General features: G+C 34.7%; 1 protein-coding gene across 5 annotated transcripts in view; it reads left to right on the forward strand.

The window, feature by feature from the left end:
* FHL5 (four and a half LIM domains 5) overlaps positions 1-19692 on the forward strand; it is a 56053-nt gene that overhangs the window by 24046 nt on the left and 12315 nt on the right. For 4 of the 5 annotated variants that reach the window (NM_020482.6, XM_047419567.1, NM_001170807.3 and 1 more), the window contains 3 exons: positions 16983-17153; positions 18131-18305; positions 19283-19452. In NM_020482.6, the coding sequence (NP_065228.4) occupies positions 16995-17153; positions 18131-18305; positions 19283-19452 (504 nt within the window). In that variant the 5' untranslated portion in view covers positions 16983-16994. Of the gene's footprint in view, positions 1-14433; positions 14534-16982; positions 17154-18130; positions 18306-19282; positions 19453-19692 lie in introns of all 5 variants that reach the window. The other variant, NM_001322467.1, reaches the window with a different exon arrangement.

Raw genomic sequence — 19692 nt, forward strand, 5'->3', positions numbered from 1 at the left:
CAAGAAGGGATGAGATGATGTTAAAATGAAGCCTGCAGCAGCAAACCATTCACATAAATTTGCAAGGAAAAAATTAATCCTTTGTGCCCTAATTGGAGAGGACTGACAATTGACAGCAGAAACAATAGCCAACACCATAGACATCTCAATTGGTTCAGCTTACACAATTCTGACTAAAAAAAAATAAGATGAGCAAACTTAACACTTGTGTGCCAAAACGATTGCACAGATCAGCTGCAGACAAGAGTAGAGCTTTCAATGGAAATTTTAGACAAGTGAGATCAAGATCTTGAAGCATTTATTTGAAGAACTGTGATAAGAGATGAAACACGGCTTTGCCAGTCCGATCCTGAAGACAAAGCACAATCAAAGGAATGGCCTCCAAGAGACGGAAGTGGTCCAGTCAAAGCCAAAGGAGAACATTCAAGAGCAAAGGTCATGGCAACAGCTTTTTGGGATGCTCAGGGCATTTTGCTTGTTGACTTTCTGGAGGGCCAAAGAACAATAACATCTGTTTATTATCAGAGTGTTTGGAGAAAGTTAGCCAAAGCTTTAGCTGAAAAACGCACAAGAAATCTTCACCAGAGAGTTCTTCACAATGCCCCTGCTCATTTCTCTCATCAAACAAGAGCAATTTTGTGAGAATTTCTATGGAAAATTATTAGGCAACCATTTTATGGTCCCGACTTGGTTCCTTCTGACTTCCTTTTGTTTCCTAATCTTAAAAAAGTCCTTAAAGGGCACCTATTTTTCTTCAGTTACTTATGTAAAAAGACTACATTTACATGGTTAAATTCCCAGGATCCTCAGTTCTTTAGGAATGGATTATATGGCTGATATCATCACTTACAAAAGTGTCAAACTTGATGGAGCTTATGTTGAGAAATAAATTTATATTTTTAATTTTTATCTCTTAATTCCACTTCTATTAACTTTTTGAAGTCTCCTTATATAGAAAAGAGTATTCATAACATATACACAAACTGTAAGAAATAACAAATTGGCTTAACAAAGAAAACATCCCCTTTATATTTGAAACCCGTTGTGCAACATCCCAATTTATTTTAATAACTATGAAAATTAGATAATCTTATATTGCATCCTGAATTTTTTGTTAATCATCACTATGCTTTTTAAAAATAAAAGCACATATTCATAATTCCTAATAATAAACTTTGGCTGTTCTAAACTTTATATAAATGTCATTCTGGTATATTTACTCTCTACAACTTGCTTGTTTACTCAATATTGTAAAGTTCTTCTGCATTAAGGAGGGTACCTGTAAGTCATCTGTTTTTGTGGCCATATGACAATATGTTGTGTGACCACACATCTACTTATTTATCCATTTTTCCCTTGATGGACATTCAGACTTTTTTGCTATGGCTAGTATAAACTCCGTGGCTGTGAGCATTGTTCCACATCATCGCTGAAAGTTTCTCTCAAATTTACACACTTAGGGGTGAAATTGTTGAGTCACATGAAAGGTATATGTTCAATTTTACAATGTAATGAAAAATTGTTTTTCAAAGTGATTTTATCCATTCATTTTTGCATACTTATTTTCAACACGTAAGAGTTCCTGTTATTTCTTTCTTTCTTTTTTTTTGAGACGAAGTCTCACTCTATTGCCCAGGCTGGAGTGCAATGGCACAATCTCGGCTCACTGCAACCTCCACCTCCCAGGTTCAAGCAATTCTCCTGCCTCAGCCTCCCAACTGGCTGGGATTACAGGCATGCACCACCATGCCTGGCTAATTTTGTATTTTCAGTAGAGACGGGGTTTCACCATGTTGGTCAGGCTGGTCCTGACCTCAGGTGATCCACCTGCCTCAACCTCCCAAGTGCTGGGATTACAGGCATCAGCCACTGCGCCTGGCCTCCTGTTATTTCTTTGTCCTCACCAACATTTGATATTGTCAGCATTCTTTTCATATTTTGTGAGTATAAATGCAGTTCATTTTGGTTTGTTGAACAGATCTATTTAAATTTCACTGATTAAGAGTAGGTTGTGCTTTCTTTAAAATAAATATTTTCCAGTTACAAAAGAAAATATTTGCTTATTATGAGTGAATTAAAAACAAGCTAATGGAAAAACAGTCTCCATTAGCTTGTTTTTAATTCACTTATTGATTCACAGGAATGTTTTATATATTTTGTTTTCTAACTCTCTTTCAGTTACTTGTGTGGCAAATATCATCTGTTATATTGTGGCTTGTCTTTTCATTCTTTAAATAGTGTCTCTTAATGAGCAATTCTTTTAAAAAAAAAGTAACAACCTTTTCATTTACAGTTTGTGTTTTTCATATTTTTTAAAAAAATTTTCCTAACATATGATCATAAGATCATAGAAATTTACTTCCATATTTTAAAGACTTGCCTTTCATATTGATGATGGAATTGTTTTGAGTATGGTATGAAGTATGGATTCAATTTAATTTTTCCCATGTAAATAACCAATTATTTCTGTATCATTTCTTAAATAATTATTTCCCCCTCTAAACTACCATTTTTGACATATCACATTTTCATATATGCATAGATCTGATTTGATTCTCTCTTCTCCTCCATTGGTCTTTGGTTTATCCTGTTTCAATACTACACTGCCTTAATGATGACAAGTTCTTATATTGTTTACAACAAATTCTTCCACTATATTAAAGTTTCAGATACATCTTGTTACATTTAAGACAAGTACAATTTCCATTGCTTTTGAATATTGTATTTTTTTAACATTGTATTTCTGATGTGTAGGAATTTTGCTGATATTTTTATATTGACCTTGTATCAAGGAACTTGCTAAATTATCTTTCAGTGGTTGTTAATGAAGTTGAGAACATTTTCATGTTTATTAGCCAGCTGGTTATCCTCCTCTGTGTATCTGTTCAAGTCTTTTGTACTTTTATTGGGTGGTCCATTTTTTTTCTTATTGATTCGTAGGACTTCTTCACATGTTTTGGATATGACTTCTTTGTTAATTAATGAATTGCAATACATTCTTTGGCTCTCTCTTTACTCTTATTTGTGTTTTTTGAGAAACAGAAGTTCTTAAGTTTAATTTAGTCTAGTGTATTAAATTTTCTCTACATGGCCAGCATATTTTCTGGCTTATTTCTGAAACCTTTCACATTACAAGTTTATAATGACATTCTCTTATATTCTCAAAGGATTATTGCTTTGTCCTAACACTGAGATCTATGGTTCACCTGGAAATAATCTTTATATGTCATGTGAAGTAGTAATCTAGTTTCATTCTTTTTCATATGGAAATAAATACAATTGACCCAACACCATTTACTAAAAAGACCATTCCTATTCTTCGTTATTCCTCACTGTCCTTTAGGTCATGTGTTATATATGTATAGACTTGCTTTTGAGCTCTCTATTCTGTTCTGGTGATCTAAGTATTTAATCCTGTGTTTATACCATACCATCCACTATAGTAGCTTTATAATGTCTTGATATCTGACTTAGCAAGTCTTCCAATCTTGTTCTTGTTCAAAGGTGATTACACTATTCCTGGCCCTCTGCATTTCTTTATAAGTTATGGAATTAGCTTGTAAAAAAATAACCTGATGGAATTTTATTTTGCATCTATAGGGCAAATGAAGGGGAAATAATACCTTCACAATAGTAAGTCTTCAAGTCTAAGAGCATGGTATTTTCCTTCCATGTATTTATTTTGGTTTTCTGTTTATTCTTTCAAAGTCTTATAATTTTCTATGTAGAGAGCTCATACATTCTTATTAGGTTTCTCAGGGAATTTAAATATCATAAATGATTTTTTTTCATTTCACTGTTTGTTATTGTTAAATAGGAATACAATTGATTTTTATATATAGACATTTTACTGAGCAACTCTAATAACTAACTTGTAAATTCTAATCAGGTATTATAGAATTTTTTTGATTTTCTCCACAATTAGAACATCAGCAAATAATGAGTTTGTTTCCTTTTAACTCTTGTACTTTTTTCCCTCACCTTACTGCAAAATCTATGGCTTCCAGTATAAAGCTGAATAGAAGTGGTGATTGTGGGTATTCTTTTCCTATTTATAATCCGAGTAAAAGCTATCAACATTTACCATTAAGTATAGTGTTCGCTATAGGTTTTTTTAAACCACATTGAAGAAGTTTCTTTCATTTTTAGTTTGTTAAGAGTTTTTAATCATAAATTGAAGTAAGATTTTATCAAATGCCTTTTCTGCAGCTGCTGAGGTAATTTTACAGCTTTCACTTTTACTTGGTAAAATTATTGAAACACAGTGATTCTCTTGAATTTTAAACTGAACTTGGCATTCCTAAAATGAAATCAACTTGATCATGATATACTAATCTCTTCATATATCACTGGATTTAGTTGCTTGTTATTTGGGTTTGGGTTTTGTATTTATTGTCAGAAGTATTATGGACCTATAGTTTTCCTTTCTCATAATGATTTTAGATTTTGATACCAAAGTGTTAATGAGTTCAAAATTTACCAGAGCATGTTCTCTGTTTGTACTTACTTGATTTGGTTTGTGTGAGATTGCTGTTATTTCTTCTTTAAAGCTTGGCAAAATTCACTGGTAAAGCCACTTTGGCTTTATTTCCCTCTGTATGTAGCCTTTTTAATTACAAATTCAACTTATCTAATAGTTGTCATAATTTTTTATTTCTTCTTGTGTCAATTTTAATAGTTTTATTTATTTTAGATTTTTCCATTTTACCTAAATTTTCTAATTCTTTGACACAGGGTTGTTGTACATAGTCAGATTTACATAGATTCATCTACATGTTTACGGTTTTCATTTTTTCCCTACTCTTTTCCGCACCTGTGATCTCCAATGTGTACTTTTGCCCAAAGAACACTGTTTGGTATTATTTTAACGTGGGTGGATGATTAATAAATTTAGTTTCTGATGGCCTGAAAATGCTTTTACCTTCATTGTCAAAAGATCTTTTACCTGGGCATAGACTTCTAGGTTGGCTGCTAATTTTTTTCAGCAATTTGAATATATCTCTCCATTGTCTAGCTTCCTTTTTTTTCTGTTGAGAAGTAGGTATCCTCAATTTGTTATTAATCTGAAAGTAATATTTTATTATCAGGGGAAATTCAGCCAGATATCGGGGGGAAATTCACCCCCGATATTTCATGTAGGTGCTTTTCTATTTTCCCTAAGTGTCAGCCAGTTTGAGAAATAAAGGGACAGAGAACAAAAGAGAGAAATTTTAAAGCTGGGCATCTGGGGGACACATCACATGTCGATAGGTTCCGTGATGTCCCCTGAGCTGTAAAACCAGCAAGTTTTTATTAGGGATTTTCAATGGGGAGGGAGTGTACGAATAGGGTGTGGGTCACAGAGATCAGGTACTTCACAAGATAATAGAATATCACAAGGCAAATGGAGGCAGGGCGAGATCACAGGACCATAGGACCGGGGCAAAATTAAAATTGCTAATGAAGTTTCGGGCACCACTGTCATTGATAACATCTTATCAGGAGACAGGGTTTGAGAGCAACCTGTCTGACCAAAATTTATTAGGTGGGAATTTTCTCGTCCTAATAAGCCTGGGAGCACTATGGGAGACTGGGGCTTATTTCATCCCTACAGTCTTGACCATAGAAGATGGCCACACCCAAGGGGGCCATTGTAGAGGCCCACCCTCAGGGGCACATTCTCTTTCTCAGGGATGTTCCTTGCTGAGAAAAAGAATTCAGTGATACTTCTCCCATTTGCTTTTGAAAGAAGAGAAATACGGCTCTGTTCCGCCCAGCTCACTGGCGGTCAGAGTTTAAGGTTATCTCTCTTATTCCCTTGAACATTGCTGTTATCCTGTTCTTATTTCAAGGTGCCCAGATTTCATATTGTTCAAACACACATGCTCTACAATTTGTGCAGTTAATGCAATCATCACAGGGTCCTGAGGCAACATACATCCTCCTCAGCTTACGAGATGACAGGATTAAGAGATTAAAGTGAAAACAGGCATAGGAAATCACAGGGGTATTGACTGGGGAAGTGGTAAGTGTCCAAGAAATCTTCACAATTTATGTTTAGAGATTGCAGTAAAGACAGGCATAAGAAATTATAAAAGTATTAATTTGGGGATCTAATAAATGTCCATGAAATCTTCACAATTTATGTTCTTCCACCATGGCTTCAGCCAGTCCCTCCGTTCAGGGTCCCTGACTTCCCGCAACATTTTATAATCTACTTTTGATATGTTATTTGTCTTTCGTTTTTAGTAGTTGTACCCTGATGTGTCCAAGTGTGTTTTTCAGGTCAGTTGAGGTTCATGTTTTCTTGGTTTTTAAAATTTGGGGCATGTATTTTGTCAGTTTTGGAAGATGGGCCATTGTTTCTTCAAATACAACTTGTATATTTTTCTCTTTTCTCATTCTCATTCTATCATCTATGTTTCTTACTTTCTTAATTGTACTTTTTATACCTTTTATCATCATGCTTAATTTTATTTTCTATTTTATCATCTTTTTCATTTCATACAATCTTTTCTAAAATTTCCCATTATGTCCCTAATTTAAATCATTGTATATTTCTGTACTATAATTTACATTTCATTCTTTTTCATTGTTTTTAATTCTCTGCAAAATTTTTGCTCCTTATTTTATTTACCCCCTTGAACATATTAAGGATAGTTTTATGTTCTGTCTTATAACTCCAAAATCTATGGCTTCCTGCATGTATGTTTCTATTCTTTATATTCCCTTGTCTTCTTCTGAACATGGTCATTTTTGTTTAGTGCTAGACATTGGTGTAGAAGTAATTGAGGCCTAAGATGATGTTTTCTTCCTTCAGACAGGATGTGTATTTATTCTGGTGTTCACCTAGGGATACCAGAATTCCAAGGTTATCTTAATATAATTTTAGAAACTGAGGTAATTCAAAGCTGGGCTTCCATCTCTGAAATACTAGTTTACTTCTAATTTACGTTACTCCAAGGGCATAGCTCTTTGGAAATATCACCTACACAATGATAAGCTTACCAGGCCTGCTACATGGAAGGTCCATTGACCTCAATCTTTGTCCCCTTAGCCTTTCTAGGCTGTCAGAAGTGCCATACAGCTTCTCAGACTATTCATTTTATCTTTTTGGATGTACATATTCTTCTGTGGAAAGCAAATACCAAGCTCATCTACGCTTTTCTCCTTCCTTTGGACTTTGCCTATTCTTCACTGTAATATTAATTCTCTGATGCCTCCAAGCTACACTTTTTAAGTACACTTTTTAAGTACTAGCTTCTCTAGTGGTTCACAGCAGCCTCATGGTTTGAATTATACAGAGTACCATTATTGGACTGGAAGTCTTTCAACAATTTTATTTTGGGGAAAAATTATTTCTATTATCTTCATTTAGTGAATTTTCTCTTTATGCATTAGTTTGTTTCATTTCAAGGTTGCTGATTTTTACTTTTGCTTTTTTCAGTCTGCTGATAATCTTATCCATTGAATTCTCTATTACAAATATTTTTAAACATAAGCCCCCACAGGGACTTTATTATACTTATGTTAAATATTTGGAAGGAAATGAACAGAATGAGTGAATGTATAAATGATTTCAGCAGAAAAATGAAAGAACTGGAAAAGGATCCAATAAATATTAGAATTTATATATATATATATATATATATATATATATATATATATATATATATGTATGTATGTATTTACTTCTTGAGGTGTCTTATAATTTTTTGCCTGCCAAACATTGGAACAAAATACACATGTACAATTTTTGTTTCATTTTGTTTTACCCCCAGAGGATGCACTCCTTTCTTGTCACATGGCTAGGTCAAGGGGCAGAACTTTTAGTTTCTGTCAAGTGTTGTGCTGAGTTACAGTTAACAAAAATATTAAATTAGGCCGACCTCTGGGTTCAAATAGTATTAAAGAAAACTATATTTCCCTTTCATCTAATCTTTGGTTGAAGCTGACAAGAATTTGTTGGGATTTGAACTCAGATTGGTTGCAGATGTTGACAGTTACTTTTGGATCATCTTTGGAATATTTTGGTTTTCAACCAAGAAAGTTTAACCACTCATTTGGTTTGATTTGGGTTTAAAATGTATCATATATCTTCTTCTTTTGTGATGTCTCAGTTTTCTAGTTTTCTTTTTCCTACGTACTTTCTATGAAATAATTTTGTTTTACTTATTTCTATTTCTATGTTTAGAGTTTTCCATTAAAATTTAACAAATCTAATGACTTATTATTAAAATTTTAACATGAGAATGCTTAATCTTAATGTAATTCAGTTAATGTATTCTTTTCCAGCAATACAAGGATTAACAATCAACTCTTTCCTCACTTAAATGCTATTTTCCCCAGTACATTAGTATTATTATGTGTTTTTGAACCCCACAAATTATTATTGTTTTTTCATACAGTCAATGTTTATTTTTGTGTAACTGCATGTTAGTCGAGGTCTTTGCTCCTTATTCTTTCTTTTTGTCTTCAGTTTTCCTAAACCTTCCGTTAGAGAGTTTCCTTTTTTTCTTTCTTTTTTTTCAAACCACATTCTTTAGAATTCCCTTCAGTGAAGGTTTTTTGGTAGTAAACATAGCTTTTGTCAACTTAAATATGTTTTTATGTCATCCTATTCTTTAAATTAAGCTTCACTGAGTATACAGGTCTAGAGTTTACTTATTTTCTCTTAGCATTATTTCAGTTTCTTCTGGTTTCTATTGTTGCTGTTTAGAAGTTATCTGCATATCTAATTGTTGGTGTTTTAGACATTTTTTTTTCTCTTTGAATGTCTTTAAGATCATCTTTGTCTCTGGAATATGACATCTTTACTATGATGTGTTTGTTTTTATGATGCCTGAAATTTGTTTTACTTTCTGCATCTGTATATTAATGTCATTAATTCTTGGAAATTCAATTCTATCTCCAACCTTTGCATATTTCTCATTTTCTCTATTATCTTCTTTTGAAATTCTGTAAAGACTTAGGTCAAATTCTTTTACTCTATCTTCTACTTTCTTTTTAACTGATATATTTTCTATCTCTTTTTCTTTCTTCATTGTATTTTATAGTATATCTTTAGTTCTATTTCCAAGTTTATTAATTTTCCCTTCAACTGATTCTAATCTGCATTTTAATCTGTTTTAATTTTAATGATAAGTTTTTATCTCTTTTATTTCTATCAGTTCTGTTGCAAATCTGCCTAGTCATTTTTATTCTCCTGAATTTTTCTATATAATGCTCTCTGTTATGTCTTTAAATATGTTAAACATTATTTTCCATTTTGTATCTGTTATTTCTCATGTGAAATTGTTTTGTTGGTGATCCAAGTATTTTCTTTGCTGGATTTTTACTTATACTGCTTGTTTTCATTGCTTATTCTTATTTTAAATATTTTAATTGTGAATTCATGCTCAATGAAAATTTATATGTATGATTTTTTTTAGGCCTAGGATGATGGGACATTCTTTCATAGAGGATTTTCTTGTGTTTCATTTTAAACTAAGCCTTTTAAACTAAAACCTAAGAGTTTTAGACCTTACAGTTAGTATAAGTTCAGGCTGTAAATACTTGGATAACAAGGTCATCATGGCTCAGAAGACATCCTCAGGACAAATGGCTCCTTTAGAGAGTGTTAACCTTTCTAGTTTCCTGCTTTCTTTTTAGTTTTAGCCTCTGAGATTTTCCCTTACTTTCTTGCCAGTTCGGCAACACATTTTATTTTGTTCGTTTTTTATTCCTTAGGCGTGTGTTTTTGAACATGCAATTTTCTAAGCTGTCAGCAATGAGCATCTTGTCACTCACATTTTAACTCTGAAATCTGACATCAGACAATTTAGTGTCTCCAAACTATTCTTTTGAAGACATCATTTACCTTCTTGTTGACACTTTCCTTAATTGTTATTAATATATATTCTCTTCTTGTAGTTCTCATTTCTTTTGTCTTTGAAAACACTGTGACCTTCACGATATCTGCTTCATCTCTTTCCCATCACATAACATGCATTTATCCGTGAGTTTGTATTTTATCTTTTTTTTTCACTTTTCTACACTAGGGTTTCTTTGATGGTCTCATTCAGTCTCATAACTTCAGTTACCATTGTAGCTCCTCAACTACCAATTAGCTCATCCAGGAAAATAGTCTAAACTTCTTAATCTAACATGACATTTTGATGCCTAGTATTTTGAACATACAGCTTGATGGCTATCTAGTTTAGTTCCTCAAATTCAATATAACTAAACCTGAGTTAATCTTGTCTTCCAACTAGTTTCTCTTCCTGTACTCCCGTCTTCTATTAGTGGCATACTAATTCTACCAGGAACCGTATATGAAATTTCAGAATGACTCTCTCTCTCTCTCCCAGATGCATTCACTTTTTAAGTCCTACTGCATCTTGCTCCCACACATGATCTCAATACTCTTTTCTAAATCAAGCCATCATTACCTCCAACATGAATACCCCAAATGCTTCCATCCTTTCCTCATTTCCACTTCATACTCACCCTTAAACAAGACTCAGTCTTTGGCTTCTCAGAATTCCAAGACTTCATACATGGTTGTATTCTTCTATCACTTGATCTCACAGTCTCTGCAACTCTCTCTTTATATATATAATATATACCAATATAATTTAATATGTATACATGTGTTTAACATTATACATTATATATAATTACTTGTTCATGTAAATTGATTAATATATTTTATTTTTATGATTTGTTTATTTAATGAATTTTCCCTTAAGGGGAATAGCTCATTGATTCTCTGTATTCCCCTCCAACACAAAAAAAATCACATTTTGTACAGAAGGCATGACATTTGTTGATTAGGCCACATGTTGAAAAATGAGTTTCGAATTGATTTCCTGTTTATGGTATATCTATCTTTAATCCCTTCTATCACTGTTTCTAAATTAATTCTCATAAGTCTCAGCTCAAAACATGGCACTTACCTGTTCTAAGTCATCAATGATTATATTTTTTCTATAGAAAAAAGTTCAAATCTAGCATGAAACTTAAGCCATTGATGACCTTGCCCTAGTCTTCCTTTTCAAATTTATCTTCCAATATTTACCCTCTCATGCTCTGCAAGCCATTTAGAATACAGTACTTACTGTTTTCCATGCAAGTGTCATATACAAGTGTTCACATATACAAGTGTCACTGCCCTTCCCAGTTCTGCTGCTGCATCTAAATGCCCTTCTCCACATCTCAAGGAAAGGGGAGGTTTACACTGGCTAAGATCCTGGGCTTCAGTTTCTAAAAGGTATAGACTTGCACACTAGACCTAGCATTTTTATCAGCCAAGTGATCTTGGCCTCCTAAGTTTTGGTTTGCTCATCCATCAAATGAGCATAATAATAATAGACCTCCTCAGGAAACCATTGCAAAGATTTAAAAAGATCCACATACAGTAGTTGACACAGGACTCAGCCTATATGTTCAGGAAACATAAAGGAGTATTAAATATTATGGTTAGTCTTTCTAAAATTACCCCAAATGTGGTAGAGACTGCCCTTTGCCTGCTTCCACACCCATTCTGCTGGTGACCTAGAGGTCAACTCGCTGCTGCCACCACGAGTACTGCCACAACTGTTTCTCACAGCCAAAACACTAGTTAGGAAAACTGAACCCTGGCATTCTGAATGGATAGAAACCACTCACATCTCAGCCAGCCAATCTGCCACCATCAACAGCAGCAGGAACATGTCTTTCATTTCATATTCACCTGCAGATTTTCACATGTGTTTGTAGCCGAGCCAAATCTGCATCCTGAACACACACTGTAAGAGGATCCAGGAAATGCCTTTAGCTCCTTGATCCCTCCAACTTGAAGAAGGATAAAACCAAGTTTGGGAAGGCCAATCCATAATATCCATTACAAAATTCATTGAGATGCCACTGCTTCAAGTTGTTCCTGAATTTTTCCTAGCTGAAAGTAATTGTCCTTCCTCCTTCTTTAAGGGGGTGGCTTTCAACCCACACTGGACATTAGAACTACTTGAGAACTGAAAAATACTTATTTTTAGTGCACTCCCAAAAAGTCTAATTTATTTGGTTTGAGGCAGGGGTGCACCTTGGATATTTTTTAAATTCTAATGTGTACCCAATGTTTAGAACTACTGCTCTAAAACTTATAACCTTTCATTTATTCTCATCACTTTCTAACTTTTGTTTAGTGATTTATGAAATGTCCTTACTCTTCCTGCTAGATCATAAGCTCTCTGCAGACAGTGTGTCTATTTTTATATCCTTTACAACTTGTAGCAAATTACTTTGCAAATGACATGTATTTTACATGTTTTTCAAACGCATTAATAAATAGATGGTGTGTGATGCCTTGCAAACAATAGTATATTAAAGATACCAGGGATGGCACCTAGTCCTTGCCTCTCTCCCACATGAAATGTTCTCAACTACACTTCTTGTGAGTCTATTCATTCTGCATAGCATAGTAAAAATGTTAAGAATGTTAAGTGGATATATTACTCATAGCATTAGGCTTTTCATCAATAACTCACTATAAAATACAAAAATAGCTATTTAAAAAATAGCACCTAAGAAATAACATTCTCAGCTACAGAAACTATTACCAGTGAACTTACATCTTTTTTTTTTTTTTTTTTTTTGAGATGGAGTCTCACTCTTGTTCCCCAGACTAGAGTGCAATGGTGCGATCTAGGCTCACTGCAACCTTCACCTCCTGGGTTCAAGTGATTCTCCTGCCTCAGCCTCCCTCGTAGCTGAAATTACAGGCATGCACCACCACACCCAGCTAATTTTATATTTTTAGTAGAGCAGGGGTTTCTCCATGTTGGTCAGGCTGCTCTCAAACTCACGACGTCAGGTGATCTGCCCACCTTGGCCTCCCAAAGTGCTGGGATTACGGGCGTGAGCCACAGCACAGCCAAACTTACATCTTTTTAGGGAGAAATCTAAAATTTAAAGGAGCAAACTAGAAAAACAAAGCCAAGTCTATTCACGCCATTGAATTTCTGAACTACTCATCTGTCTTCTACTCATTGTCTTCATTATGTTCTTTGATATATCAGTGCACCTCTAAATAAACCTTCTAAAATCCCAATATGCAAAGATAAAAATTCCGGGCTTAAATGTTGTGTTAGTTGCTGAATAACTTTGAAAGAAGTTTGACAAGAATGTCTAAGTGATATATTGCAAGTGAATGACTAGCACTGCTGAGTTCACACCTAGAAAAGTTGAATGCTAACCAATTGGGGTACATGTTTATATTAATAGTTCTTACAGCTCATAAATAAGAACAGCTTTGCTCAAGAATTTTTAATCTTTGAAAGCAAAAATTTTCCAATATCTTTGAAAATTAGCCCTCAGGTGCGGATTCCTGAGACAAAAATCACATAGTCCTCATCCTCTTTCCTACAGCTCTACCTGTTAGGGAATGGTTAAAACAAGCTATTTGGCTTGCTCTTCTGGACACAGAGTTATTCCCTGAGAATTTTAATCTATTAATGTTAGTGACAAAGAGGAGGAAAAAGTAAAGAATAATGTTTAGAAAATTGTAAGATAGTAAAAAGTGGTCAGATTGGAAAAATTCATACTCTTACCTTCTGCCTGCTCCATCCCAGTTAGAACTACTTGCATTCAAAGTTCAAATCAAAAGCTTGTTACTCAATTCTGTTTTGTAAAAGCAACATCAGGGAGTTGGGTAGGGTGAGAACAGAAAAAGCTTTAAAGTTAAAAAGCTTAAAAGTTTCAAGATCCTTCTTCATCCTTAATGTACCCAGGTGAAAATTTATTCTCACGACTCAACATTTCCCATCTTCAAATGAGCTCCTATGCCATTCTCTCACTTCTCTTTTCCCTTCCTCAATAAACAGTTTGATCTTTCCTTCCTTGTTTCTTTCTTTCCTTGCTTCTTTTCTTCATTCCTTTATTCCAACCTTCCTTCCTTCCTAACAGATTTCCAACAGCTTAACTTCCTTAAGATCTTCCTAGGAAGGTCTCTCCTCACTCTCCTTTCTATTATAATAGTTCTCTAAGAATTCTATATGGTTCTAATAGAGTGTGTATCATTTATATAGTTATAATACCTCTATTTTTAAGAAACACTATTTGGATGTATTCAAAGATCAATAGTTAAATGATAGACTTCATGAAAATGAGGAATGAATTTCTTAGTGTATTTTTTCTAACCAAGAAGAAGAGGATAAACATTCAGTTTGCTCACTTACCTCAAATTACATTAACTATTACTAAGATACGAGCTATAAGATAATCCAGACTCCTTGAGTGGGCAGGGAGTTCAAATCACTAAGTAAATATTCAAGAAATGTTGACCTGAACCAAATGCTTCCTCCCACTGTATAGTCCTACAAGTATAAAATCACAAGGTTTTGAGATATTAGACTGATTCTGTTCTCACCCTACCCAACTCCCTGATGTTGCTTTTACAAAACAGAATTGAATAAGAAGTGAATTTCTTCTTTCCAGAGGCCAGGCGCGGTGGCTCACGCCTGTAATCCCAGCACTTCGGGAGGCCGAGGTGAGCGGATCTTGAGGTCAGGAGATTGAGACCATCCTGGCCAACACGGTAAAATCCCATATCTACTAAAAATACAAAAATTAGCCAGGCACGGTGGCATGAGCCTGTAGTCCCAGCTACTCAGGAGGCTGAGGCAGGAGAATGGCTTGAACCCGGGAAGTAGAGGTTGCAGTGAGCCGAGATCACACCACAGCACTCCAGCCTGGGCAATAGAGCAGGACTCTGTCTCAAAAAACAAAACAAAACAAAAAATTAAGAAATATGGTCTATATTGTAAGGCATTTTCTGTGGATCCAGGCCTGTTATGTAATTAGGACTGGGGTGGGAGAAGGACCGTCTTGTCTTATATTTAGACTTCTGATCTGATCACTAAATAAGTTACAGGTATTTTGATGTTGTCATGTTTAAAGTGTCATTTAAAATAAACAATTGAAATATTATCAATTTGGTAATCCCTTTTGTGGTTTTATATGTTTTATATATTCATTTTATAATACACTAAAAGCCTCACAAAATGGCAGTAGACTGCAGTTCCTAACCCCTGAGGGGCCGTGTTTCATGATGCTATTATACACATCTAAAACTAAAATAAATATTAATGAAAACGACGTTTTCCATATTAAGTGAAGAGAGTTAAAGGTACATATTTTATTTCTATAAAGTGACAAACACTTGATCGCTGTAAATGTGAATACAACTTTTATTTTTAAACCTTTCAAGGGAATTAGATCTATTTTCCTGCTGTTTCCAAGCCTTCGGTAACCCTCTGAGTGTGTTTGTATTCACTAGGAAGGAACATTTCTGTGGAATTAATCAAATGGAGAATTCAATGTTCCTTTTAGATAATTTTGGCCATGTTCCATTGCGAACTTTCTAGTCTGCATTTCATCTCTTTCCTGGGAAAAGACCCACATATTCCAAATCCTCTGCCTTTTCTCTACTTGTTAGTGAAGAACAATATAGCAAAACTGCTATGTACAGAATTAATAATCATGTGCATTCAGCAAGGCTCTCTGCTGGGAATTTCATCACTAGAATAAGGCAAAACGCATGAGAATAAGAGTTCAAATGTAGTCAGTACAAACTAGTATCAAAAACTCTGTTGTATTATCGTTAATTGCTCCTCTGATTTTGCTAAAATTAAAAGAAAAATTATGTGGGGGGAGAATTAGAAAATATTCAAAGCTCCTAATATATTCCAGTAAACCCTGAGATGACAAATCTCATTTTCCAAGGAAAAGCAGTGCTAATTTTTTTTTGTAACAACAAAGAATTCATGTTCAATGCCTAATTAAAACCTGGAAATCTATATGCGTTGTTTCTTTTTTTTTTTTTTTTTTTTTTTTTTTTTTTTTTTTTTGAGACGGAGTCTGGCTCTGTCGCCCAGGCTGGAGTGCAGTGGCACAATCTCGGCTCACTGCAAGCTCCGCCTCCCGGGTTCACGCCATTCTTCTGCCTCAGCCTCCCGAGTAGCTGGGACTACAGGCTGTGCATTGTTTCTTAATGGCTTTCCAAATTTACAAAACAATCAGAGTCCTTATCTATCACTGGCTTTATGTTTCATATCAGCTTTTTTATTCATCTTACAGAATGCATTTTGCCTTGCAGATGAATTCTAGCTATTTTATCCATAGCTATAATGGAATAGCTGCTGCTATTATTTATGCTCTATACATGTTACTTTGGCCCTAAAGCCTGAAGGAACCCATTGTTGTTTTCTACCACTGATGATTTTATCTGCACTTCTGCATCTGGGCAATTGTTCACAATAGTCACAAAGACCTAGCACTTGGTCTGAGAATCCTACCTGCTGAGGAGTTTTATTTGGCCAGTTTGGTAAAGGACATTTAAATGAAGATATCTAAAGCTAGCAGAAAACAGAGATTTTGGAGTCATCAGCACATTTGGGATGGTGGAAGCCACAGCCAAGGAGGGGATGTAGTACACGAAGACCTCAGGGTAAATGTGCAGAGCCCTTATTAGGTATTCAGTAAAGACTTGAGGAGTAAAAGAATGAACTAGAAAATGACAATGTACTGATTATTAATTTATATTTGAGTAAAAAAGACTGTTATTTCCATCAAAATCTGCCTCTAGAATTTTCCAGCAAGAAAGTAAGTGATGATAGTTATTAAAAGCCCTAGCAACAGTTTATATCCTTGAGGTAAAACCATCCTGTTTCAACAGATACCATATTCTCATTGAATTCCACATTAGCTTATGATAAACACAAGATGTTTTTCATAATCTAGATGCAGGTTTTATGCATTTTTTTTTAGCAAAACATACAGGGAACTGCCAAGATGGGAGAGTAATCTTTCCTAAATCACTCCAAATGTCACCATGACTATAAGCATACTTTCCTAAATTGGGGGATTTTTGCTTAAGAAAATATAAGTTCATTCAAATGCTTCACTCACATTATATTAAGGTTTCATCATTTATCCTATAAACAAAATTCTGCTTTTATATACATTAATCACTTTGTCATTCATAGGATCAAACCAAAATGACAACTGCTCACTTTTACTGTCAATACTGCACAGCATCACTTCTTGGGAAGAAATATGTACTAAAGGATGACAGTCCATACTGTGTTACATGTTATGATCGTGTATTTTCTAACTATTGCGAGGAATGCAAAAAACCAATTGAATCTGATTCTAAGGTAAGTCTCACCTCAATTTACAGAATTACTGCCTATGAACAGCAAACAAGTGGGTTGGAGTGCCTCTTTTCATTTAGTGTTGACTTTCAACACTATTTCTCTGCTACTGGATATATAAGGATCTTAAAAGTTACCAGCAGTCAAGCTCCAGCCACTACACTTAGCACTATGAAATACAACATATGCTTAATCCTCACATGATCTTCTAAGGTAGCTGAGAATGCTAAAGATTAAAGGGGTTAAGCTATTTGTCCAAAGTTACACAGCTAGAATTTTCCTGCTGTTTCCAAGCTCTCAGTAACCTTCTGGGTGTGTTTGTTATTTCTGGAATGACAAGGGTATAAATAAATGCATAAAGAATTGAAGTTGAAAGGATTCAAAATCTGTTTTCTGATGTAAAATCAGCTTCATTTCTTACTAAACCCTATTGATACCTCTCACACCTACCACCCCTTCCTCCGACATGCTTATTCTTTCTTTCTTTCTTTCTTTCTTCTTTTCTTCCTTCCATCCTCCGATTATTTTCCTCTCTCTTTCTCTCTCTCTCTCTCTCTCTCTCTGTCTCTTTCTTCCCTCTTTCTGCCTTTGTTTTACTTAGGTGATGTTATTTTTTGTCTGTTTAGTTACATCTCAAAGAGTAATAGAACATTGCACCCTAAAATTTTTAAAAATCATTCCATGAAAAACCTCTATTATAGTTTATAAAAAGAATATAGGCAAATTTTGAAGACACAGCAGAGAATGTATTTGTTTTTTCCCAGCTGCCTTAAGTGACCCACCAAGAAAGCCCTGGGCTCTAGCTCTTAATTACCCCAGAGAGTCTCCTCTCTATGGGTAACAGTTTCAGTAACAACTTTCCCTCACGCTACTAGCACAACCTACTGACATGAGAGTCCCAGGAGTGTTCAGTTTTGTTTCATAAAATGGCCTGTATTGTCACAACCACATTTAATTAACTTTTATTTACTGTCTCAAAGGATCTTTGTTACAAAGACCGGCACTGGCATGAAGGATGCTTCAAGTGCACCAAATGCAATCACTCTTTGGTGGAAAAGCCTTTTGCTGCCAAGGATGAGCGCCTGCTGTGCACGGAGTGCTATTCTAACGAGTGCTCCTCCAAGTGCTTCCACTGCAAGAGGACCATCATGCCTGGTAGGGTCTCAAGGGGGCTCCTGTCTCTAACTGAAGCTGTGATGCTTTTCATTAAGTCCCAGCACATGAGGAGTGCAGCAGCTCCCAAAACCCTGGTTTTGAGAAAGATATCTTTCTTACTCTCTCAATCTTCTTCCGTGTACTTTAGAAATAAAAAGATTATTCATTCATTATCCTTGAACAGGTAAATTACAGTGTTCTGTGTATTTTCATATAGTCTAATTCATAGAAACATTTCAAACCAGAATCTTACCCATAAAATAAAGACAAAATGTATACCAATAACACTACATTAAACACAGTGCCCTAGGCACAATCAATGGCATCAGAAAGAGTGATTCATCATAGGCGATTGGGGCCAACTGCCATTTTGTAGCTTGACACAAACTGTTTTGAGGATCGGTTATTGTTATTCTCTCTTAGGGAAGACAGGGTTCATGTATATCATTCCACTTTTGGCAAGGACTAATTCTTTATATTTTGATCTTCTCAATCTCTATGGTCAGCAGCATAAGAACATAATTCATTCTCTGCCACTCTTGCTCTCTCATTTTCTTATTATGGATTCAGAGAATTTCTAGAAGGCCATAACTGCACAGTATAGTCTCAGTAGTTGTGCTCTGGGCATTTTTAATACCCTTGTAATGATTATTATGGCCCAATTTATCCAAACCATGTGAAACCATTAGGAGTCTCCATTAAAAGTACTTTTACATCTCCAGATTATAGGTTATGCAGAGCTTGAAAAAGTTTTCAGTCTAAGAGTGATTCTCCATCATCATGGCTAAACTTTATTAACCATTTTTTTTTCTCCAGATGAATGGGTTTTTTTGAACCTGAAAAAATACTATTTTTCTAAAAGGACAATTCATTTATCATCTTAACTTAAAACGTTTTTAAGTAATTTGATCTGTATTTGCTTAAAAAATAAAATTATGCTTGACTTATACTAACATGGCCTTACTTTTGGAGTACAGGTTCCCGCAAAATGGAATTTAAGGGAAACTACTGGCATGAAACCTGTTTTGTGTGTGAGAATTGCCGACAACCTATAGGGACAAAGCCTTTGATCTCCAAAGAGAGTGGCAATTATTGTGTGCCATGTTTTGAGAAGGAGTTTGCTCACTACTGCAACTTTTGTAAGAAGGTAATTTTCTAAAGAGGGTGAAGCTTGTGGAAACTCAGACTATTTCTTTTTAGCTGTATCATATATTTAGAATGAACTGATACTATTATGTTATATCTGTAATCAACACACCCATGGTAGTTTGGACTTTCAACATGTCCAAACCACTAGTTGTCACGATGAGCATGACCATCTTTTTTTTTTTTATTAACCATAAAATTCCAGCCACAACAAGAATTTAATATTCCAAACAGCTCAAGT

Source organism: Homo sapiens, chromosome 6, assembly GCF_000001405.40.
Source record: "Homo sapiens chromosome 6, GRCh38.p14 Primary Assembly".
NCBI classification, from domain to species: domain Eukaryota; kingdom Metazoa; phylum Chordata; class Mammalia; order Primates; family Hominidae; genus Homo; species Homo sapiens.